Source organism: Homo sapiens, chromosome 13 (assembly GCF_000001405.40).
Source record: "Homo sapiens chromosome 13, GRCh38.p14 Primary Assembly".
Lineage (NCBI taxonomy): Eukaryota > Metazoa > Chordata > Mammalia > Primates > Hominidae > Homo > Homo sapiens.
The window spans coordinates 29,996,061-30,022,460 of record NC_000013.11 but is presented as its reverse complement, the minus strand read 5'-3'; the positions used below and the strand labels follow the sequence as shown (position 1 = coordinate 30,022,460).

General features: G+C 44.0%; 2 annotated features.

Moving 5' to 3' along the window:
• Positions 3,948–4,447: an enhancer, noted in NCBI's record as "H3K4me1 hESC enhancer chr13:30592151-30592650 (GRCh37/hg19 assembly coordinates)". NCBI's record gives its function as "activates a minimal SCP1, AML or CMV promoter by ChIP-STARR-seq in naive and primed H9 embryonic stem cells {active_cell/tissue: H9 hESC(naive and primed)}" and the evidence as "EXISTENCE:reporter gene assay evidence [ECO:0000049][PMID:30033119]".
• Positions 4,448–4,949: an enhancer, noted in NCBI's record as "H3K4me1 hESC enhancer chr13:30591649-30592150 (GRCh37/hg19 assembly coordinates)". NCBI's record gives its function as "activates a minimal SCP1, AML or CMV promoter by ChIP-STARR-seq in primed H9 embryonic stem cells {active_cell/tissue: H9 hESC(primed)}" and the evidence as "EXISTENCE:reporter gene assay evidence [ECO:0000049][PMID:30033119]".

Sequence of the window (26,400 nt, the reverse complement as noted above, 5' to 3'; positions counted from 1 at the left end):
CTGTGACAAGGAGTAATTTCATGTCAAGAGCATGCCCTGGAATGGAAGGCAGGGCTGTGGCTCAGAGGACGCGGCTCCCAGTGGAAAGATGGAGGTGGTGAGCCGTGGGGAACGCTCTCTGCCTGCTTTTGGGAGTCCTCCCTGTGTAGCGCCTCATGACCGAGAAAGCAAACACTAGTGGAACTTGGAGCATTGTGGTGAAAATCAGTAGTTTCCAACTGGATGGGATCAAAAAGAAGTTCCTACTTAAACATTTAGCCTCAGAAGTAGATTTTTTAAAACGAAGCCGCAGTTAATGTGCTGATGAACTGAAGATTGAACTTGAGCTTCACATTCTGTCTTTGGCTGTGAACAAATAACAAATAAGTGCTCCCGTTGTATGGGCTCAGCATGTTCTTGGGAGACTGCTTTAAATCTTATTATTTTATAGTCTTCTGCAATCTTTCTAGATGTCTATTATATGTTTGGAAAGTTACTCCGACTTAAAAAAAAACCTAGATCTTACTCTGTTTAAAATGAAGACATTAAAGAGTAGATTAACCCTTTAAAAACTAGATATTTAAAAGGGAAGTTGTAATTTTCTGGTTGAGTGATTCATACATTTCGATTTCAGCCCTAAGAGGCAGAGCATGGGTTCAGGATGAGGCATTTCAGGCTGGAGCTGGGAGGAGCTGTATTTCCTGCCTGGCACTTGATCCTTTAACTTCATCATCTCTTCCCTAAACACTGTCTTTTCAAAATGCCAGCCTTTAAGTGAATCTTCTCAGAATGCCATTTATCTTTGGTGCTATCTATTAATTGTCAGTTTATTTGGCCAACCTAGTTTGCCTGGGGTTGACAGATCTGTTTAACATCCTCTTTAAGGTGAAACTGGCTTATCTTTACAGAAAGTGTTAGCAGGTGCCTGCTCCAAGGATCGTCACCTTGATTTATTATTTCCTCAACAGCAAATCTCCAATAATGGTTTTCTTTAAGCCATATCTGTACTTCTGTTTTTCCCCTGTGTGTATTTTCAGTCCCTTTCTTGTTTCTGTTTCTTAAGTGCTGTGTGGATTCAGGGGTCAGGAAGCCTCGGGAGCTCAGCTCAGCCCTGTCCATTTGCCCCAGAACCGCAGATGGGCAAGGTCATTTCCCAGGCATCGGGGCTGGTGGTGGGAAGACACCAGGTGGTGAAGGTGACCGTGACCTTCAGGAGGGGATGCTGGCTCCAGCTCTTCTCTTGGCTGCCAGGTTCTCATGGCCTTTGGGAGGACCTCCCAGGATGGTCTGGAGCAGGTGCCGGGGAGCACCCCACACAGAATCCAGATGCTCTCCTAGTCATGTTGGCAGTCCCAGCCAGGCACTGTCCAAGGTCCCCAAGGTGGGCAAGGGCTTGGGGGCAGGATTCAGGGAAGGCAGTGAGGCCTGAGTGATTCCCCAAACTCAGACCCAGAGCTTCTCCCAGGAGGTACCCGTCCTTCAGCTTCTCCCAAAGTTCGGAGGCCTGAGGCCTGAGGGAAGTGTCTTCAGCACTGATTTGCTCTTTGTCTCTGGAGCTGGAGATGAATCATCTGCTCTCCCTTTGCCTTCCAGTTTAAAATAATTCCATGAGTAATACACTTAATATTTTCCATCTTAAGAGAAACTCTGAAAGGTAAGACAGACTGCACAGGTGTTGGGTAGTTTTCACCACATTTTAAAAAAATATATGTATTGATAATAAAATATCTCTCTCTCTCTCACACACACACACACTTACTTCCATTATCAACCTCTGACCTAGCCATGTGTGAGGACAAGGAAAACATCATATTGGTGTTTCTGAGTAAGATCGTTAAGGACTTGTTATTTGGAGGAAAGGAAAGAAAGAAAAGTGAAAACAGTGAGTGGAAGTTTTAGCTCTTCCTGAATTACTGAATGACAATAATACTAAATTAGCCTCCTCAGAAATGTTAAGGGACATTGAAAATATGAACTATGAAAGAGCAGGACAGAATTTCCTCGTGGGTGGAATAAATCAGGCTACCAGGCTGTGTGTGTGTGTGTGTGTGTGTGTGTGTAGAGAGAGAGAGAGAGAGAGAGAGGTCATAAAGAGACAAAAAGAGAGAAAGCCCCCTCCGTTCTTACAACTACAGTGCTAATTGCTAATGGCCAAAACTACTACAGAGAAGCACGTTGGCTGTGAAGCCCTGTCACTCATCGTGCTGTACTATTCTTGCTGGTTTATTTCAGGCGGGGTGACAATACCAAGCCCGTGGCATTCACGTTGGTTCCGTTTGTGTGGGGATGAGGAGGTGTGGGCGTGCGGGGGCCAAGCTCCCTGGATCTGTACATCTGAGCTCTGCCTTCCCTCAGGGCTGCCACTCTGAGGAGCATGTGGGTTGTGATCCTTTTGTTCTTTTGGAAGAAAAAAGAATGTGCTCCTGGTAAAAATAGTATTTTAAAGGCTTTGAGAAATAACTATGCTGCATCCGATCAGAAGATAAGGGACCCCCTGGAAAGGCTGGGGGTGCTGGGGAGGATGGAGTCCCCCTGCATCTCCCCCACCCCGGGCAATTCCCCCTGCCCTGGGTTTCCTTCTGCAACGATGTCAGCAGAGTGAGCCCAGGACTCCCACCTCCTTCTCCTGTCACTTGCTGTGATGATATAAAGAAAGTTCATTTGCTCAGGAAATTCCCCTGGAGGTAGGAGACAATGCCTGGGCTGATTGTTCTAGGCTCAACCTGCCTGTGTCTGCTCCTGATTCTTAAAGTGTCCCTCATTGCCTCTTTTTGTCACCTCTGCTCCCTTGCTTCTACCTATCTTTTTCGTCCCGTGTATTCTCCTCATATGTCATTTAAGAATTTCAAACCTGCTCATTGAATTCCACATTCCAAGTTCACAAATATTTGTGCATTTTATCTTCAGCAGCATTGTCTTCCTCATTTGAGTGTGGCAAGTTTATAAGAATTTCAGCTTCTGCTGGGCGAGGAGGCTCATGCATGTAATCCCAGCACTTTGGGAGGCCGAGGCGGGCTGATCACCTCAGGTCAGGAGTTCGAGACCAGCCCGACCAACATGGTGAAACCCCATTTCTACTAAAAATACAGACATTAGCCAGGCCTGGTGTTGCACACCAGTAATCCCAGCTACCTGGGAGGCTGAGGCAGGAGGATGGCTTGAACCCAGGAGGTAGAGGTTGCAGTGAGCCAAGATTGCGTCACTGCACTCCAATCTGGGCAACAGAGTGAGACACTGTCTAAAAAAAAAAAAAAAGAAAGAAAGAAAGAAAGAAAGAAAGAAAGAAAGAAAGAAAGAAAGAAAGAATTTCAGCTTCCCCTGGGAAAACAGACTCTGGGGGCTTATCCAGGAAGGATGCAGTTGGGTGCCAGGAGGGGACATACCTCCTGTCCTTTGGCCCCATAGCACTTTTATCTTTTTTCATAACATGTTCTTACTCTTTGATGGCAGGAACCAGGTCTTTAGGTGAGCTAAATAAAATACAATCAAGAAAATAAAAATAAAAGCTCCTGGCGATGGGTAGGGACCGCCTCTCCTGCCACCAGTCTTGGATCCTTAGTTTGTTCCCTGCATGCTTGGCACTGGCCTTGCACAGTCCACATGCTCAGTCAGGGGGGTGCCCCCACTCCTGACCTCGGAGGAGGAGTGGAGGAAGGATGAGGGGAAGAGACCCTGGACAATGAGTCCCATCATTTTAGAGCATCCTTCTTCTGGACAACACCAATAGTAGCTAACCTCAGAGCTCTCATCGTCCAAGCCTTTTTATTTTATAGGGAAAAAATGAGACTAAGAGATGTTATGTTATTTGCCCAATAACTTAGAGTTACTGGATCTTAGAGATGGTGCTAGAACCCAGATATCTGGGTTGTTTGCTCACAGCTCTTTCCACCAGGCCACAATGCCCCTGTGAATATGCACTAAGACAAAACCATCTGGTCACTTAAAATAATTTTTTGTACTTTTGTACTTTTCACAGGAGTTGCCTACAGGGGACTAAGACACTGCAAAATCAGTGATGCCGTGCCGCGGGGCTGGACGTTAGCTTAGAGATCCCGTGCTGCAGCTCCTTCGGGATACTCAGAAGGAGACGAAGGGCGTGATCAGGGCCCCAGAATGGAATTAGGACTGTCCAGTTTATTGTTCTCAATTTTGCTGCCTTCAGAAAATAGCCCTTAAAAATCAAAATAGGTTCCCTTTTTGTTGTATAAATCAGGACATTTTTGATGAGACTGATCTTAATTTTCTTTGAAGATAGCCCCGCTTTTCATTCATCAGGAGTATTTGATTCTGTAGACATTCATTGTGTGCTCATGCTGTGCCAGGCACAGGCTTGATGCTGTGAGATTCCCCACCCCTGGTGGCCAGCCAGCATTCCTGTCTGCTCACAGCTGGGCTTGGGTCTCTGCTTCCGAACTAAGTGCAGCATTCAGGCTGCCCATGGCCCTACCCCTGGCCCAGTGCTCACCTCTAGGCGGTAGTAGCTGGAGTGCACAGCTGTTGACGAGAATCCCACAGGGCAATGCCTTTAGCTTCTAGGCTTAGATGTCATATCTGTGGCTTATAGGACTGGGTGTTGAAGAAGCTTGCTTGAGATTAGTGTGGGGAGCAAATAAAACTACACCTGGCCTTCAATCCAGGCCATGGAAGTGTATTGGGAAGGGGGGTCTTTCGGGAACTGCATGATTGTGGCAGCTCCATAACTTCAAACATGGCGGGGGTAGGACACGAGTCCTTGGAGGGGCTGCAGGGGGAGGGGTTCTGAGTGTGCAGGAAACACACAGTTTCTACTTGGCATTTGCGTTTTGGGGGTTGGTTGTTGGGGCACCTGATGGAAATGGTTTTGGGGGTAGCTTATGCCATTGTTACGGGCTGAATTGTGTCCCCACAAGATTTGTATGCTGAAGTCTAACCCCTCGTACCTAAGGATGTGCTGTATTTGGAAAAGGGTCTTTAAAGAGGACATGAAGCTCAAATGAGGTCATGAGGGTGAGCCCTAATCCAGTATGCCTGGTGTCCTTGTAAGAAGAGGAGATTAGGGCACAGGTGCGGAGCCAACACTTGGAGGCGGAGGTCATCTACAAAACAGGGGAGAAGTCTCACGGGAAACCAACCCTGAAGATCCCTTGTACTGGGCTTCCAGCCTCCAGGATTGTGAGAAAATAAGTTTCTGTCATTTAAGCCACACATTTCTGTGGGATCTTGTTATGCCAGCCCTAGCAAACTAATGCAGTCTTTATAGTCAGGATTCTGCTGGCAAAGAGAACCAACATACTGTTGACTCTTGAACAGCATGGGTATTAGGGATGCTGAGCTTCCTTGCAGTCACAAATCCACATATAACTTTTGACTCCACCAGAACTTAACTACTAATGGCCTTCTGTTGACCATAAGCCTAACCAATAACATAAGCAGTCAATTGACACATACTTCTTATGTTATACATTTTATACACTGTATTCTTACACTAAAGTAAGCCAGAGAAAAGAAAATGTTATTAAGAAAATCCTAAACAAGAGAAAATATATCTACTATTCATTAAGTGGAAGTGGATCATCATAAAGGTCTTCATCCTCGTCGTCTTCACATTGAGTAGGCTAAGGAGGAGGCGGGGTTGGTCTTACTGTCTTAGGGGTGGCAGAGGCAGAAGAGGCAAAGGAGATGGGGGAGGGGCAGGAGAGGCAGACACACTTGGTGTAACTTTTATTGAAAAAAATGCGAGTATGAATGGACTCACAAAACAATGTTAGTATAAGTTCACACTCATGCTGTTCAAGGGTCAAGTGTGTGTCTGTGTATAAAAGGACACTTATCGGGAACTGGCTCACACAATTATGAAGGCCAAGAAGTCCTATGATCTGCTGTCTGCCAGCTGGAGAGTTGGGACAGCTGGTGATGTAATTCAGTCTGAATCCAAAGGCCTGAGAACCAGGAGCCAATGGTGTGACTCCCAGTCTGAGGCCAAAGGCCCAAGAACCGGAGAAGGAAGCTGTGTAAGTCCTGGAGTCTAAAAACCCAAAAACCGGGCACTCTGATGTCGAGGGTGGAAGAAGATGGTTGTCTCAGCTCAAGAAGAGGAAGGACTTCACCCTTCCTCTGCCTTTCTGCTCTATCCAAGCCCTCAATGGATAGGCTGGTGCATGCCAACATTAGTGAGGGCAGATGTTTATGCAGCCCACCAATTCCCATGCTCATCTGCTCCAGCGGCACCCCACAGACATTTCACCAGCTACCTGGGCATCCCTAAGCCTGGTCAAGTTGACACATACAATGAACCATCACTCGGCCCTTCTCAGCCACCCTAGGACAGCCCATGTCTCGCATGGTGGAAGATGGCACCCTGAGCATCTCCGCTGCTCTGTCACTAAGTGGCTTGGAGGGAAATACGTGAATATTGCTTACATGTTTGAACTGCTTGGATGTAAAATAGGTGCAAAGAGCCTTTGGAATTTCTAAGCCATGGCCAAAAGGGCTGGGATCAGTTAGGGAACCAGCAGGGAGCACCCCTGTGGTAGGCAGTGGTAGGAGCACTAGAGTGTGGGTGGCCGGGATGTGGAACAGGAGCAAGAGCAGGCACAGAGGAGAGGCCACAAGGGACCAGAAGCAAAGAAAACTGATGAGCACTGGGAACTAAAAACCTATGCAATTTTCCCCTAAGACCTTCATCATCCCCAAAGAGGTGGGATGGGGGGAAACAAGAGGTGTCAGCTGTGGTGCACACACTCTGAATCACGCTGTCAATGCTTTCTTCTGTCAACATTATCTGATTTAGATACCAGCCCAGTTCTCTGCCACCCTGGTGCTCACTGTGCACACTCCTGTCATGACGACTGGACAGTGTGGGATACTTTCCAAAGGCCACAGAACATGCAGGCTTGTCCTCCCTCAGGAAAATTGAGATCAATAAGATCAGCTGTCCTGAGAAAATTGCCTTGGCCAAAAGGTTTGGGATGAATCTTCAAAGTGATTCCACATGTTTGTATGGTGCCCGAGGGGACATGCCCCATGTTAACACCACAATCTCATTCCCTCCTCGTTGCCCCTTGAGAAGCAGGTCTGGTAGTGCAGAAAGAGCACAGGGCTTTGGACTCAGGCACCTGGCTTTAAATCCCAGCTCCACTAGGTACCCTGTTTTACTTTGGGCTTCCATTACTGGGACAAAAAGGGCTTTGAGATGCAGATGAAGCTTCAGGGTCAATTAGAATAAGAAATCTTTCTTGTGACATTTTATTCTCATTTTTCAGAAAATTATTGCAACCCTGTGATAACAGTGGTATGACAGCTGCCCCTTTGACATGGCCCCTTGGCACTTCAGGGGAGGCACTCTGGAAGGCTCCTGGCATGTACAAGCTCTCTGCTGTCAGCAGGCGAAGCAGGCACCATCCCATCTGTCTCAGAGGAAACCAAACCTGAGATGACAGATAGGTATGAGGCTGAACCCCAAGTTTGCTCCTTCTCCTCCAGCTCCCCTTCCTTCATACTGCAAATCTGCCTTCAGGAAATATTTCTATCTCTCCATAGAATACCCAGCTATGTCTTTTGCCAGAAACAAAAAAGTGCATGCGCTGACACTGCCCACAGGAATTGGTCGGTTTTCTCTCAGCTAAAATGCTGCCCACAGAGAGCAAATATTAGGATTCCTAAAACTCAGAGCTCTCAGGAAGATGGGGAAGCAGCCCAAAATGGGGGTTCCAAACCCTGCCAGATTCTATTCACTATATTTGTGGTCTTGATGAAATGATCCAGCCTCGGTAGATTCAGCTTCCTTATATATAAAACAGGAGAACAATACCATCTTTCTTGCTGAGATATTATCAGGCAGAACTTACGAACTTCAAAGAACTTAAGAGACAGCCAGAGGTGTACAGCTCCATGGCAGAACAACACGTTAGCCTTGCTGTTGTTATCACAGAATCACCACTGTTCATGTAAAAACATTTTGACAGTGTCTGGAAAAATCTCATCTAGTAGGAATAATCAAGTCTACCCAAGGAGGAAGTGTTATAAAGGACATGTAATGCTTCACTCATTTGGCTATATGACAATTTTTAATTGAGATTCTCTATGCCCAGCAATAGGATTGCAGTGATGAGCAAGAAACACATAAACCTTTCCTCTAGAAGCTTATAGACTACAAGGCATGGGACAGGGGAACCAGAAAAGGCAGATGGAGAAATCCCAACGTTATTGGGGGTATGCAAGACATGAGTACCATTTTCACTTTTATCTTGGTCTCCTTGCTGTCCATGGAGTCAGCTATAGTGAGCGTCTATTGTTTCGTCTCCCCAACATCCAGCTGTTCTCTGGTAAAGCTTCTGATTGGTTACCCACCCACTCCCATGCCCATTCCAGGAGGCTGGGGTGGGGCTGACCTCACCCCTGGGATCCAGGGTATGGACACGTTACCCAGGCTGGACCCATTACCCACCTCATCTGCCTGGCTCCAATGAACTGGTATAGGGATAGGGTTGCCAGATAAAATACATGATGTCTATTTAATTGAATTCAAATTTAAATTTGGATTTTAGGTAAATAAGGAATTTCTTATATATGTTCCAAATATTGCATGGGGCAGAACTATGCCAAGAAATTATTCATTGTTTATCTGAAATTCAAATTTGATGGACATCCTTTATTTTTATTTGCAAAATCTGGCAACTTTATTCAGAAAGGAAAATGAGAGCCTTTCCTGGGACATTTTTGGAGTTGTTAGCAAACAGGACACTCTTTCCCTGCTAGAATTGTGATAGCTGCGGTTACCCATGTTTGGGGGAGCCATCCTGAGAAAGGAGTTGACACACGAGGCAGAGCTGCGGGATGGGAAGAAGTATCTGCGTCAGGTCTTCAGAGCCTCCTGTCCAGCCATCCTGATGGAACCCGGCTTTTCTAGCTAGGTGAGCAGGTGCTGTTCCTTTGCCATTTGCAATGGAAAAAGCCCTGTTCAGAACATTCTGCATGCATTCCCAACTCTGTACGGCACCTCCAACTTCCCCCATTTTAAGGGACTTTCTTCCTATCAAAATCTTTTTCATTCCTCAAAGAGTCCACTCAACTCTAATCTTCTCCAGAATTTGTTCGCCGACTATTCAAAAAAACCTGCACACAGTATCCAGGGTCACACACACAGGTCACTTTTGTATCCTGGAATGTCGTATGTCTAGCCCAAAGGCTTGGCTTATTTTAAAGCCCTAGATGCTCTCTAGGCTTCAATTTTCTTCAAATCACCTGAAGCCCCAATACCCTTCTGGAGTAGATTTAGTTAACTGATCGTGAGCAGACGCAGGGAGCAGTCACGACAAGTCAGTACCGTCTCTCTTGAAGTGGCAGGACACCTTGTAAAGTCCCTTGTATGTGGGGTCAGGAGTCTAGGGTTTGAGTCAAGCCACTTTCACTGACACCTCTCTGGCCAGGACACCCTTGTACTCACAGGAGGACTTGTATGAGTGCTCACTGTGGGTACCCGGCCAGGACACGCTAGTACTCACAGGAGGACTCGTGTGAGTGCTCACTGTGGGTACTCGGCCAGGACACATTAGCACTCACAGGAGGACTTGCGTGAGTGCTCACAGTGCGTACTAGGCCAAGACACCCTTGTATTCACAGGAGGACTTGTAGCAGTGCTCACTGTGGGTACTCAGCCAGGACATACTGGTACTCACAGGAGGACTCATGTGAGTGCTCACTGTGGGTACTCGGCCAGGACATGCTAGTACTCACAGGAGGACTCTTGTGAAAGCTCACTGTCGGTACTCATGCAGGTACTCTCATCTTCTATTTCCTCCTCTGTAAAGTACTGAGGTGTCCAGCATCTAACATATGTTTCCAATGCCATGGTTCATGACCCAAACTCATGCTGATAGATCCAAGGATTGCCATAAGACAAAGAATGTCTGGATTTCAGAAAAGTATTTTACAAAGTTCTCATGAGCTTTAGGAGAATCTTCTCTTTAGGATAGAGAAAAAGAAATCAAAATTCAATCTAAATGAGAGGAGATGTGTACAACATGTGTACAAGAATTCATAGAGACAGGTGTTCTTAGAGGGGAGATGTGGTCAGCCACAGGGCTTGTTCTATATCCTGGGATTTATCAACAATTTAAGGTAATTGAAAGCAATCTTACCAACTTCCAGGTGGCACAGAACTGGGAGGAATGGCCAATACATTGGAAAAGAGAAATGAGACTCAGACCAATTTGATATTCCAAATCCATGGTTTATAGCAAATTATATAAACGTATATATATCCAACTGGTTAAAAAACAGGTCAACCATGTAAATGCAAAATAGAGATGTGGTTCATGTGAAAAAGACATGTTAGGTTTATGACAAACAGAATACGAATCATCAGTAGCTGTCCAAAGAGCAAATGCAATGGTAACTTGGGTTATCAGCTCTGCAGAGCCTGGTTCGAGGGACATAAGAGCTGGCTGTGCCCTGAGCTGAACACATCCTTTTGTTACTAATATTATTACTGGGGCTCCTCTCAAGGAGATGAGGGTGTGATGGGATAAGTATGGAAATTGCCCTTCCATGGTTCATTCAGCTGTGCATGTCCTTATTCATTCTGCAAATAGACTCAGCCTTGATCAGTAGTGACCTGGAATCCTTTCTGACGTGAGGTAGAAGTATAAATAAATATAGACAAATAAATAAAATATGCCAGAAAGTGTGCTCCAATAAAGTGGGAATTTCAGGCCCTCCACGAAGAGCTGGAAGAGAGGAGCTTACTGGGAACAGGGGCCAGAGAAAGGGGGAATCTGGGAGGGTGGGCCACAGCAATGGTGGCTTCAGGTCAGACTTTTCAAGGTAGAGGCTGCGTTCATCACACTCCACGGTTCAGGGCACCCTGACATCTCTCCTTGTATGTATTGATTCCTTTATTCCATTTCGTCTCCATTCAGCACCCAGGAGGCAACACTTTTAATGGGTTTATGTGTGTCCTTTGATTTGTATGGGTTCTTGAAAACCCATGTGTGTGTGATTGCTTTGTGCCACTTTTACATAAATAATGTGTTATGTATCTCTTTATAATGTGCTATGATTCTCTTTCTTGCTTTTTTTCATTCAAGTCTATGTTTTCAGAACTAATCAGGTGACTGTGCAGTCCATCATCATTATTCATGATTCTGTATTTGTGAATTTGCCTACTCAATAAAATGCATCTGTGACCCAAAAATCAACAGTCAAGGCACTTTCACAGTCACTTTCGGATATGCCCAGAGCACTGGAAGATTTGCGTTGCCAGATGTGCAAGCCCCCAGCTAAGGTGGAATGAGACAGTGTTCTGCCTTCTTGTTTCTGCCCTCATAATGTAAACAACTGTCCTTTTTGCAGTCTGTTTAGTGCTATGCTTTTCACATTTTTATGCTTTTTTTGGGGATAATTCTGCTGTTGGAAATGGCCCCCAAGCACAGTGCTAAGTGCTGCCTAGTGTTTCCAAGTGCAGTAGGCCGTGATGCCCCTAATGAAGAAAACACATGTGTTGAAAAAGCTTTATTCAAGCATGGGAGTTAGTGCTGTTGGCCGTGAGTTCAGTGCTAATGAATCAACAATATAGATAAAATATTGTGCCTTTAAATAGCAGCACACATAAGCAAGGTTATATATTGATAAGTTGATGAAAGTGTTGTGAGCTATGGCTCACAGGAACCTAACTCTGTATTTCCCCTGGAAGCAATGGTTCAGTGTTTACTAACTCAATGTTCACAGACTTTACAGAACAGAGCTATTATACATAACAAAAATTGACTGTCACTCTCTTTCACTGCATCTCACTGTTGTGTAGTACTCCATATCACACTTTGTGTTACTTATCCACTCCCATAATAATGGACACACTCAGTCCCCATAAACAAGACTATAACAAGCATCCTCATGTATCTTCCTTCAGAGATGAGTGTGAGAACTTCTCTGGAGGCATTCCCAGGAATGGAATCTCCTAGTCCTAGGGTAAGTGCATTTTACCAAGTACTGCTGGATTGCTCTGAAGAAGGGCTACCCCATTTACCTCTCAGCAGCATCGTACAAGAGTCTTGTCTTCCCTACAGCCCTGCCATGACATGCCTGCCATCTTCAACTTTCTAATTTTTGCTAATCTGATGGGTGTAAAGTCATAATTCATTATAGTTTTTATTTTATGTCTCTAATCAAATGAGCTTGAGCATTTATTCATTTGCTTTTTATTTTGGATTTCCTGTTTAATGACTTGCCTATTCATACTCTTTGTCCATTTATCTGTTGAGGTCCCTGTGATTGATTTGCAAAAGTTTCTTGTATATTTTAGATATTTGAACCACATCAGATGTTGACATTTTAAATATATTCTCCTGAGTTGTCACTTGCCTTTTAATTGTGTCCATGATTTCTTCATTAAATGGAAATCCTTAACATTGATATAATCAAGGAATATAACTTTGAACCTGAGCCCTGAAAAATGGGTGATTTCTAGCAGGAGGAGAAGGGGTGGAAATTTAGGCATAAGCTTCCATAAGAGAGGTCCTAACATTGAAGAGCCAAAGGCAACTGAAATTTTTTCAAACAGAAAAGATAAAATACAGACAGCAAAAAAGTTATTTCACCCAAAGGGCTGTGTGTCAAGGAGGCTTTAGACATAGTCTATCCCCAAATAACAAAGAGTTCCCTGGGTGATGGGGAGCTCCCGCTTCCTCCAGATGGCCATGCACAGGCTGTAAGAGAGTCAGGAGTGCCACATGGAACCACAGTCTTTATAAGCCCTGAAGGTACTGACAGTTCTGAGAGCTCAGAGCCTCTGGATGGGATAGAAGAGGAGGAAATTCCACAGAGATTGTTCTGTCCCTTAACCAAGCAATTCCTCATGCCCATGCAATGCTCACCTGGCTGAGCTAGTCTTCCCAGCATCTCTCAACAAGTAGGAGCACTTTCACACTGCACCCCACTCCACCTCTTACTCAGACAGGCACAACTCATTAATCGCATGGACATGGCATTAGGCAAGCCCTTTCTGTGACTTTTTGTTTTTAATTCACAATTTAGACTTTTAATTGGTTCCCCTAATTCTAGGTTCTAAATCTGGAGAAAGGTACAGGAAGGGGTGAAGGTAAAATGTCGAATAGACCCCAGTACAGTCATGAAGCAGAGAGAAAAGAGAGTTTCTGTCTTTCATTCACCCATTCATTCACTCACTCATTCATTCACATTGGTTGTATACTAGTGAGTGTATCCTCCATGCCAAGCACTAGGCATAGAACTGGAACAGAATGAACAGCAAGAGTGAGCAGAACAGATGTTGTCCTACCCTCATGGAGCTTACAGTCCAGAGGGGCAAACATTTACGTAACACCAAATCTACAAACGTATTCACACTCTCACCCACCTTCTCCCTCCTTTCTTCCTTTAAAAGTAGTGAGACGAATAAGGAAAATGCAAATTATAATGAAATAAAACTACCATTGCATCTACTGCATTGTCAAATATCCAGAAGTTTGATGGCATATTCTGTTGGTAGACTATAGGACAACAGGCAGGCTCGTACGTTGCTGATGGGAAAGCAAAGGAGTGCAGCTCCTATGGAGGAAAATTTGGCAATATGGAGCAAAGTTATATATATATTTAACCCTTTCACCTAGCAATCCCACTCCTAAGAAAATAACCCTAAGATAGGCTGGTGAAAATACAATATGCATGCAAAGCTATTTAGTACAGTACTTCTTGTAGTAGCCAAAGATCGGAAAAACAAACCAAATGTCCATCACTAGGGGAATTAGTTGAAGAAGGCAAATCCACACAATGGAGAATCAAGCATTATAAAAAAGGAATGAGGAATGCTGCACATTCTAGTAGGGAGAAATTGGAAAAGTTGAGAATAGTGTATATAGTATGCTACCTTATATCTTAGAATAGGCGCGAATAGTGTGTGTGTGTATATATATATGTACTATTTTAAAATTTTAATGGAAGGATGTACCAAAAACTAACAAATGTGCTTACCTGTGTAGGAAGGAGGAAACCAAGTGATGGGTAAGACAGTAGACCTTATTTTACAAATTTGACTTTGCAGCCAACGAAATGTTTTATTAGAACAAAATTTAATAAGCAAACTGAGTTTCCCCAAAATATTGAACTCAGAATAAAACAACTGAGCTTAAATGTATATAAACATGGTGACTTAACCACACAAAAAGGAATTATTTCAATTGACTTTAAAACATAGTAATTATTTATTTATTTTATTTTGGTTTTTTGAGATGGAGTTTCGCTGATGTCACCCCGGCTATAGTGCAGCGGCATGATCTCATGATCTCATGATCTTGGCTCACTGCAACTTCTGCCTCCCAGGTTCAAGCAATTCTCGTGCCTCAGCCTCCCGAGTAGCTGGGATTACAGGTGTGCATCACCACGCCTGACTAAATTTTGTATTTTCAGTACAGATGGGGTTTCACCATGTTGGCCAGGCTGGTCTTGAACTCCTGACCTCAGGTGATCCACCCATCTCAGCCTCCTAAAGTGCTGGGATTACAGGCATGAGCCACCGAGCCCTGCCAAAACATAGTAATTAGACTATGCATGTTTATTAGGATTCATATCCCAAGGATTACAAGAGTCACAAAGAAACCCAAAACTGTTTCCAGCAATATTATGGTTGGCAATAATATTGTTAGTAAATATTACTAGTAATAATATTATTATTACAGATAATGTTGTTATTTTGGAGTTTATAAATATATAAAATGATTCTATTTTAACTGCATGTGTGATAAAATTATAACACAGACACATGCAATAAGATAAACCAAGTAATTCATTATAATAAAGTTATTGGCCAAGAACAGAAGTTTTTAGCGTAAAAGAAGAGAAATAATGCCAAAACTCGTGATATATTTTCTCTTAGTTTGTTCTTCTAGCTCAATCCACTGAAAAGGTCTAGAGACAGTAATCGCCTGGTAGCAATGAGTATGCCTATCACTCACATTATGGTCTTGAAACATCATTTTCCACTAAAAAGAGCTAGAAGCTCTTGCAGAAATGACAGTTTGCCTGCCTGGGACAAGATGAACCCGGAACATTTTATTAAACCAAAAAGCAAGAAAGTCTTCAAATGATTGGAGATTCTTTCAGGTGGCTCAGGAGTCATCTGGAGGGGACTGTTCCTGGCCAAAGATGGGGAAAGTTAATCATTGCAAAGATTAAGAACAGCAATGGATAGAGATGTCGTAAACATCTAGAAATCCATAGCTATAATCATACTAACGTTACAAAACCTCACTAGTCGCCTTTGGAAGATACTAGGGAGCCACTCAATATTCTAGAAACTAGTAAATACAGAGAAAGAACCAAGCACGCATTCTGTATTTCCTCTGTGAACTGCACCTCAGGATAACCAAGTACTTGGTGAAGGAAAGTATCTCTCTCTCTCTCAATATTCCCATCAAAAGCAGCAGAAGAAATACCTATTAGTTTCCTACAGCTGCCATAACAAAGAACCATAAACTAAGTGGTTCAAACAGCAGCAATGTACTGTCTCCCTGTTCTGGAGGCTGGAAGTCTGAGATCAAGGTGTTGGCAGGGCCGTGCTCCTTCTGAAAGCACTGAAGAAGGATCTGGGCCAGGCCCTCTCCTGGTTGTGGCAGCAGAACTCCAATCTTCACTCGCCTACTCCCTGTGTGCTTATGCATCTGTCTCTGCATTCAAATCTCCTCTTTTCACAGCACCAGCTATATTGGATAAACGGCCCATCCTACTCCAAAAGGACCTCATCTTAACTAATTCCATCTGCAACAAACTTATTTCCAAATAAGTTTGTATGCTGAGGTTAGGACAGGAGGATAGGACTTCAGCATATGAATTTTGGGGTAATACAATTCCCTCCATGACAGAATGATGGAATTACAGCAATGGCCATCCACAACTGCCAAGACAACAGGTAAAGAGCTAATGAGGAACTTGCAGGATGGAGCAGCCTGACCCCACCAAACCCTGCAATCAACTTTAACACCACCAGACTCAGGAAAAACAGACATCATGGCCCAGATGTGATGTAACAGGAAACACAGAGAAACCCGGGAGGCACTCTTGCCTCTCCCTCCTTCAACCCCCCACCCCAAACCCCAAACCAGACCAAACCAAACCAACAAAAAACTACCACCACCAGACCTGAATCTTCAGATGTTAGATGTAAGCTGGCAATTTAGAGGAGTTATCAGTGAGAGAAGAATGTGTTAAATGACACCTTGGGTATGTCACCAGCAAAATCCAGAAAGTGTGAAGTTCTGTAAGTCAAAAGACCTGGTTTCCTCAACAAATGTTAAGAGGAAAAAAAGGGAGGAAGAAGCCCCCTTTAAAAAGCATATCAGCCAAATTCAGTATGTGTGACTTGCTTTGGTTTTGATTTGAACAAGCCAGCTGTTAAAAATAAAAGCCTGTAAGGGACAATTGGAGAAATGTATACACTAAGTAAATACTTCATGATGCTAATAAATTATTAAGCATGATAATAGTTTTGTTATAAGTTTTTAACTCCTCATTTTTAAGGCATACGTACTGAAGTATTTGTGAATGGAAAGTTATCATGTCTTGGATTTGTTTCCAAATAATCTGGGGAGGGGTGATAAATTGATTGGGATTATAGATGAAATGAAACTGGCCCTGTGGTGAAGCTGGGGTGATGGGTATACGGGGTTTCAGTATACTATTTTCTCTACCTTTGTGGGTTTGCAATTTTCCATAATAAAGTGTTAAAAAATTGATGAGGTGGCTCTCCTCCTATAAAAGTCTTATCTATTCATCTCTCTTCTGGATGCCATCCCATCTTATCTTCTCAAGGATTTAGCTCTCTGTTTATTGCCTCTTTGAGCATTGTAAATCTCTCTCTCTTTCAATCTCTCTCTCTCCTGAGTCATCTCCACAGATTATAAACATGCTCCACCATCTCCCATCCAAAAGAAAGGAAAAAATGGAAAACCAACTTTAGTTTCTCCCTTGGCCCTTCTAATCTGTCTTCATCCATCCAATGATTTTATTCTCCTGCACAGCCCTAACTTCTCTTCATAGAGGTAAACTTTCTAATTCCTCACCATCCATTCACTCTCCAATCCACTGCCATCTGGCTGCTGCTGGAACATGGGTACCATCTTCCATGACCTCCACAGCATCCACTGCAGCAGCTGCTGCTCTGCCTCTCATCTGTGCTGACCTGGTTCCGTGTCGCTCTCCTACTGCACACTGTCCATCTGTCCTCTCTCACTGAGCACTCCCTCCATGCAGCTACTTTCAATTCCTCCAGCTGTCCCTATGACATCCCAGGAGCAGCACCTTCCCCAAGGCTCTTCCCTAGGGAGGCTCCTCCCACACCTCAGGACTTCAGGGTGACCTTCTCCATCCTTCTGCCCAATGAGGTCCCTCCTCCAATCTTTGTAATTGCTTCCATTTCACTTCTCTTATAGCACTTATTACAAATTGCAATCATCTTTTTTATTTGCTTATTTCTTGCTGGACTTTCAACTCCACATGGAGAGGAACCAAATTGGTTTTGTTCATCACTGTCGTCCCAGCAAACAGTATAGTTCCTGGCACACACGGGCATGTAAAAAATATTTGCTGAATGGAAACATTAAATGATACATTAATCAAATGATTACACAAATTAATATAATTGCAAATTGTGAAAAGCAGTATGGAAAAAAGGCACATTCCGATTCTCAATCTGGTTTGAGAGGGTGGGTCACCAAAGCTTCCTGGAATTGCAAGTGAGCTGAGATCTGGATGGAGGGAGGTATTGGGGAGATGTGGGGCAAACATAAAAAGAAAAGGTCAGCAGACCCTAGGGAAAAGGCTCAAGGACTTTTGAAACCAAAAAGCTGCCTAAGGATCAGAGATTCAAGGTTTCCTTTACATGTGAGTCTGTGGGTGATTCTTAGGAGTGAGTGGGCAATGAGGGGAAGCCAAGGTCAATGCTGTCTGGGCTACATTTAACCACTTGTTTACCAGCAGAAGAGGAAGCTCTAGCAAGGCTTCCTGCTCCTCACAGTGTGTGGAGTGCTTTAGGGAGCAGTCAGGGCTGAGCTGAAGCCTTGGCCCCAAACACCAGCTGAGCTGGGGAAGCTTTCTCCATGCCCCAAACTGGGAGCTGGTTCCTGCCTTTGCTTCACATCCTCCTGTGTGATGCAAGCCATGCTGACACAGACATGTCTGTGTCAACATTACTGTCTAATTCACTTTTGCTCAACAGACTTCCTGTGCTCAGATCTCTAGGTTTTGCCTTAGGGATGGTCAGGGTTCAAACATGTCTTCCCTAAAGTCAGCTTTTAAGGACAGGCATCAGAGGTTTTATGTACCCAACAACAACCAAAAGAGGTGGGAGATTGCAGGTGCTTCAGACAGATCCCGAAGGAACAAAGGATGGATGAAGGGCTTCTGAAAGTCATCCAAATACGCGCGCGCACACACACGTGCGCACGCACGCACACACACGTGCGCATGCATGCACATGCGCACACACGCACACGCACACAGACGCACATGCACACACGCACACACACACACAGACACGCACACATGCATGCACATACACACAGAGAAAAAGTAAAAAGTTTCCTCGAATACATAACCTGTCCTCTGACTCAGTAACTCTGCTTCTAGGAGCCAGCCCTATGGAAGTAATCAGAGGCAGGCAGCAATGAATGCACTAGTATGAGTGCTTTAATGCTATTTACAAAGTAAAAAAATTAGGAAAACAAAAACAAGAGAGGGCTAAATAAATTAAAGCATGCCTAAACTAGTATGTAGCCATTACAATTATGTTTATAAATACATTTTAATTGCTTGGAAAATGCTTGCAATGTTAAATGAAGATAATAAAATGAATAAATAACTATACAATATGAATTCAAATATTTGAGTTTCTCTCTATATATTAGATGGATGGATGGATGCAAAGGAAAAAGATTAGACAGAAATAATTATAGTTATTTCTGGTTGGTGAAAATTATGTTATTTTAATTTTTTATACTTTATTTTTAACCAAACACGTATTATACAACTATAAATAAACAGTAAGAAGCTTCTTCATTTATTCATGTTTTTGTTTACTGTAGTAAAATATACATAACAGGCTGGGTGCGGTGGCTCATGCCTGTATTCCTAGCACTTGGGGAGACTGAGGTGGGCGGATCATGAGGTCAGGAGTTCGAGACCAGCCTTACCACCATGGGGAAACCCTGTCTCTACTAAATATTCAAAAATTAGTTGGGCGTGGTGGTGCCCACCTGTAATCCCAGCTACTCGGGAGGCTGAGGCAGGAGAATCTCCTGAACCCGGGAGGCAGAGGTTGCAGTGAGCTGAGATTGCTCCACTGTACTCCGGCCTGCGCAACAGTGAGACTCCGTCTCAAAAAAAAAAAAAAAAAAAAAAAAATATATATATATAAATGTATATACATAAAATTTTTCAGTTTAACCATTTTGAAGCACACATTTCATTGGCATAAAGTACACTCACATTGCTGTGCAACCCTCACCGCCATCCACGTTCAGAAGTCTCTCATCTTCCCAAACAGAAACTCTGTACCCATTAAACTTTTCATTTCCTCCTCCCTGCAGCCCCTGGCCACCACCACTGTTCTCTATGTCTCAATTTGACTGTTCTAGGTAGCTCACATGTGTTGAATCATACAGTATTTGTTCTTCTTTTGTGTCTGCTTATTTCATTTAGCATAATGTCCTCAAGGCTCATCCATCATCCATGTCTGACTCATTTTTTAAGTATTTTAGTGTTACTCCTACAATCTGTTAGGTCACACTGCTAATCTACAGAGATCTCCAACAAGGTCTTTTGTAAGAGACTCGATGGACTCAAATATTTTGTTTACAGTATAAGGGTTCCTCTCACAGAGCCTCTGGAAGGGATGTGAAGAGGCCATATTAACATCACCCACCCATAAATACCTACCTTCACTTTGCCACCAGGAGCAAGTAACTGGAGATGTTGCATTTCTGTATTTAGTCTTGAGAAGCAGTGAGTGGAAGATGAAGCTAGGATTCATTTTGATTAAAAAAAGGTCTGGAAGGAGCTTTGAAAACATGTAATAAAATCCTCTTGCTTAACAGAGGCTCGGGGAACCTAAATGAATTGCTTCCATTTGCACAAGGTGGGCAATACAGTGTCATGATCACAAGTTTCAAGTTTGGCTTCTATTACAGCCCAGCCAGCCTCTGGGAATCACATGGGCCTCGGGAGATTACTGCAGAAATCCAGATCCCAGTGTCCTCATCTACAATATAGGAGCTGCTATGGTTTGAATGTGCCCCCCAAATTTCACATGTTGGAAACTTAATCCCCAATGTGGCAGTATTAAAATCACCTTTAAGAGGTGATTGGATCATGACAGCTCTGCCAGCATGAATAGAATAATCTGTTTATGAATTAGTGGGTTAATGGGTTAATGGGTTATCACAGAAAGGGAGCTGATGTCTTTATAAGAAGAGGAAGAGAGACCTGAGCACATGAGCACACTCAGCCCCCTCGCCGTGTGATGCCACCTCAAGACTCTGCAGAGAGTCCCCACCAGCAAGAATGTCCACACCAGATGCATGCTCTCAACCTGGGACTTCATAATTGTGAGCAGCCTCCATAACTGTAAGCAGTAAGTGCCTTTTCTTTATAAATTATCCAGTTTCAGATATTCTGTTATAAGCAACAGAAAACAGACTAATGCAGGCACCATAACTGTACCCATTTCATACAATTGGACAGGTACAGTTTAAGGTGCCTGAATTAATGCCTGGCAATAATAAATGATCAACAATGGTAAGTGCTATTATTATTATTATTATTATTATTATTATTATTATTATTATTATCAGGGTCTTGCTCTGCCACACAGGCTAGAGTGCAGTGGCAACATCATAGCTCACAGCATCCTTGACCTTCTGGGCCCAAGTGATTCTCCTGCCTCAGGCTCCCAAGTAGCTAGAACTACAGGCATGTGCCACCATGCCTGGCCAAAGTGCTATTATTAAATCAAATGTATTATTATTGTTAGGACAGGAGATTCCATCTACATGAGTTTGTACCTGCGCTGGAGGAATAAGGAAGCAGGCACCAAAATCACTGATTTGCAACTTATATCAGCCTGGGCGATAGAGCTAGACCCTGTCTCAAATAAATACACACACACACACACACACACACACACACACACGTATATATGTATATATATGAAATGAAATATATATATGTATATATATAAAATGTGTGTATATATGTGTGTATGTATATAATGTGTGTATATATATATGTATATAATGAAATGAGTGCAGTTATGGTGCCTGCATTAGTCTGTTTTCTGTTGCTTATAACAGAATATCTGAAACTGGATAATATACATATGTATTATATATAATATACATATATATATATTTGAGACAGGGTCTACCTCTATCGCCCAGGCTGAAGTACAGCAGCATAATCATGGCTCACTGCAGCCTTGACCTGCTGTGCTTAAGCAATCCTCTCACCTCAACTGCCCAAGTAGTTGGAAATACAGACGTACGTCATTATGTCTGGCTGATTTTGTTTTATTTTTCGTAGAGACAAGATCACACTGTGTCAGCCAGGCTGGTCTTGAACCCCTGAGCTCAAGCGATCCACCCGCCTTGGCCTCTCAAAGTACTAGGATTATAGGCATGAGCCACCGTGACCGGGCCCAAGTTACATTTAATGTGAAGGAACAAAAGGTCTACATTTCTGGAACTTTCTGTACATTGTAACTTTCAAGATTAGTCACAATTCCCTTCACAACCCAGATGTGTAACCTTCTACTGCTTGTCCTCCTCCTCCAGAGGTGTCTGTGTGTTCGTAGAGTTTTCTCATCTGTTTCTCCCACTGCAGAAAGATCTCTGTGCTGCTCGGCTCTGGTTGTCTGCCTTGCCTGGCGGAGGGGAGACACCCAGACGGCTTCTCCTTACGCGGTTCTGCCGCCCAAACTCCAAAGCACAGGGAGTGGTCCAATTAAAAACCTGGGCACGTAAGGAAAGGCAAGCATTAAAGGCCAACTCTGTTGTGCTTAAAAAAAGAAGAAGAAGAAAGAGAAACGAAAAAGAATAACAGCATGTAAATATTGTGTTTCGGGTTCTCTCGTGCTAACTAAGGAATATGGACAGCTGTTTTGAATGGGCTTAGCAACTATTCATTTTGAGTGGAACCTCCTTGACAGACTAGAATGAACGAGAAAGAATGCCTTGAGGAGAACCTCCTTATTCAGGCACAGCCCCAGCATTGCTCCTTTTAGCCGTCTGCTGCCTTCCCAGACGTTGTGGGCGAGGCGAGCTGTGCCCGAAGAAGACGCCTCTTTTAGAGGGCATCTGTGTGAGTGCGGACATAGGCAGGCTCAGGCACCAAGTGTACACTTCCAGAGTGTCATTTTCATTCTGAAGCGTTGAAGTGTCTTATTCATTTCTGAAAACATGTGTGCCGGCTTGGCGTCTTGCTCAGGGGGCATGAAACAAATCAGGATGGAGAGGAAAATGACCAGAGCCCACATTTCCTAATTATGTGTTTTCTCTCCCCCATCCCTTCCCATCTCCACTCTTACCCCGCCCTCCTGCAGCCCCGTTAACATGACAGGTTTGGAAAGGTTTTCCCCCTGCACCCTCTTGGCAGTCCCTCTGGGCTCAGGGTTTCTGCGCTGCTTATGAATTCAGGATGCACGGGCTGTGCATCGGTGCTGCTCCCTGGCTTGGCTGAGACCACCTGGCTCTGCCAAGGACTTTGAAACATGCAAGCCGGAAGAGGAAACAATATCTCTGTTGAGAACAACTGCCCTTGGCCTGAATCCGTCAAATAGGATTTATTGGGAAAGGAGGAGGGAAGGCAAGAGGAGGGAGAAAAATATACACAGTATATTAAGTAAACACAAGTCCAGGTATGGCTCAGCATTGCAGGGAATGGCAGTGAAAATAGGAACCTTAGGCCTGTTTTCAACACACAGCCTAATGGAAACTTCTACTTCAAGCCAGATTACAGAGTTTCATCCTCAACAAGTGTGCTGGGCATGATCCCGGGCCTTCTGCAGATGTGGTCTCATTTAACTCTCCCAAAGAACATTGGCAGGGCCATCCCATTATTTTTGATAAAACTGAGACTCGGAAAGTCAATGCGACCACCAAGGCTGCAGCTCCTAGGACTCAGGTCTTCTGGATGTGTGCCCAGTGGTTACCCTGACTCCACCAGAAAAGAAAAAGTAATCACTCTTAAAAAGTATGGCCGGGCACGGTGGCTCACACCTGTAATCCCAGAATTTTGGGAGGCCGAGGCAGGCGGATCACCTGAGGTCAGGAGTTTGAGACCAGCCTGGCCACCATGGCGAAACCTCATCTCTACTAAAAATACAAAAATTAGCAAGGTATAGTGGTGGCAGGTGCCTGTAATCCCAGCTACTCGGGAGACTGAGGCAAGAGAATTGCTTGAGCCTGGGAGGTAGAGGTTGCAGTGAGCCGAGATCGCACCACTGCACTCCAGCCTGGGCGACAGAGTGAGACTCGGTCTCAAAAAAAAAAAAAGATTTACCTGAGGTTATAATTAGCCATGGTAACGTAAATGTTAACGTTAGGGGAAACTGGGTGAGAACTCTCTGCACAGTCTTTGCAACTTCTCTGTAAACCTAAAACTATTCCAAAATAAAAAGTTTATTTTAAACAAATAGGCCGCAATCTGGCAGTATAAACACTTCCAAAAGGGATGCAATACAGATAATGCCTGTCAGCCTGCTATTTTGTCCATCTTTAAATTAGCGTTGAGTAGCACAGGGCCTGCACAGTCAGCGTTTGTTAAGTGCCACCAGGGCTGTGCTGCTCACAGGAAGAAAACCAGAGGGGGCTGTGCAGTGCAGTAATCGGGCCCTGATACAGACTAGGGGGTCACGGGCAGCTTCTCTGAGAAAATAGTATGTACACATTTTAACTTACTGATTTATGAGTGTGCTGATAAGTATATTATATTGTTATGTGTTGTATTAGTCTGCTCTCGCACTACTATAAAGAAATACTTGATATTGCATAGTTTATAAAGAAAAGAGGTTTGATTGGCTTACAGTTCTGTAGGCCATACAGGCAGCATAGTGGCTTCTGCTTCTGGGGAAGCCTCAGGAAACTTACAGTCATGGTGAGGGCAAAGGGGAAGCGGGCATGTCTTACGTGGCTGGAGCAAGAGCAAGAGAGAAACGGGAGGTGCTACACACTTTTAAACAACCAGATCTTGTGATAAGTCACTCACCACCATGAGAACAGCACCAAGAGGATGGTCCTAAACCATTCATGAAGGATCTACCTGCATGATCCAATCACTTCCCACCAGGCCCCACCTCCAACACTGGGAACTACAGTTCAACATGAGATTTGGGTGGGGACATAGATCCAGGCCATTTCACATGTTGAAACTACTTTCAGTGTGTGCTGTGTCTTTTAGCTTTATCATATCTTTGCCATGAAAATACATTTTTTAAAATGACAATTAGAAGCCTCCCTCAGTCTCTAAAATGACAGAGAGACTGTCACTTGGAGTTAGTGTGATTTGGGGGAAGAAGACATTTTGGAGCCAGAAAGATGTGAGTTCAAACCTCAGTGAATGGACTGAGGTGTCCGGCTGCATAATCTTGGATGATTGTTCTGGGTCTCTTAACTTCAGGTTCTTCCTATGTAGAGATAATCATACCTACTTGACAGGCTCATGAACATTAAAATATATAAATAGATGGTATTTACTGATACCTTGTATGTGCTCAGGAAATGAATTAATTGATGAATGATTACATATTATCAAGATTTAAAATTTAAAATTCACTGGGAGCAGTGGCTCATACCTGCACTTCTAGTGACTCTGGAGGCTGAGGTAAGAGGATGGCTTGAGCCCAGGAGTTTGAGGTTGCAGTGAGCTATGATTATGCCATTGCACTCCAGCCTGGGCAACATAGCAACAACTGATCTCTACAAAAAAAAAAAATAATAAAAAATTAGTTGGGCATGGTGGTGCAATCTCGTAAGTTCCTAGCTACTTGGGAGGCTAAGGTGGGAGGATTGCTTAAGCCCAGGAGTTCAAGGCTGCGGTGAGCTATGATTGAACCACTGCATACCAGCCTGGGTGACAAGAGTAAGACCCTGTCTCTGAAAAATAAAAATAAAAATAAATTCACACTAATTTAACAAAAAAAATCAAGCATTGATAAAGGGAAAAAAGTCTACTGGTTATGGTTAAAGAAATTGCACGAATAATTATGGCAAATTCTACAGGTTCTCATCAGTCAGTGTTTTGAGCTGATCTTGAGCACGGTGGGGGGGCATCCAGGCACAAGTATGAGTGTTGGGTATCAAACAGATCTGAAAGCAGCTCATCTCCCCCACAGGTGCTCACTATGAGCAGATCCGGGTTGACACAGGCACTTAGAGCTGTAGGCATCCTGTAGGCTCCCAGTGGCAGGGCTGTGGGAAGTCCCAGTGGGGCAGGCAGAAGTATTTCTATGCCTACAATGGGACTGTGGCTGCGATTTGTCATGAGGCTCTAAAATTCTTCACCCTTGGTCTTCTTCTTCTTCTTCTTCTTCTTCTTTTTTTTTTTGTAGAGATGGGGTCTTGCTATGTTGTCCAGGTTTGTCTCGAATTCCTGGCCTCAAGGGATCCTCCAGACTTGGCCTTCCAAAGTGCTGAGATTACAGGCAAGAACCACAAGTACCCAGCCCACCCTTGGTCATTGAAGGAAGATAGAATGCCAGAGAGTTGTCTAAGGAGGGCCCACCATGACCAGCTGCAGCACCCAGGTATGCTGGAGGGGTAGGCAGCCAGCCTGCCCATGGTGTGGCACATCCCTCGGAGAATCATGTGCCCTTCCACACGGGAGTATGGCATCCTGGAGAGGCATAAAATCTCCTTCTGTTCTTGAAGGGCCAAATTGTCTTTTTTATTAGCCATCTCTATACCCGGCTGTTGTCTTTACTGTCTCATAAAATTAGCCTGACAGCCAAGGAAAGCGAAGGCAGACGCATGGCCTGAATTTATTAGCCTGAATCTGATTCCCCAAACAGCAACCTGGAAGAAATTCTGCCTATCACTCACTCAGATTTCTTTTTTCTCACTCACTCAGTCGTCAGCAGAAAATGCCGTATTGTTGCAGAAGGGAAGCTCACGCCTGGGGCAGCCTCCTCTTCTATAAAACGTGTATATGTGAGGGGTAGGAGGTGGGCAGAGGGTGGACTAGATCAGTGCTTCCCAAAATCTGTCTGAACCTCAATCAGCTGTTTAAAAATACGGATTCCTGGGTCCCGTCTCTAATGTGCTAAGTGAGAGGCTATTCAGGTAGAACCCAGAAATCTGAATTTTTGAAAGCTCCCCTTGATGGTTTTGCTAATCAGTCAAGATTGGGCATCATGGATCTACCAGGTTACTTTGGTCTGGAACATTG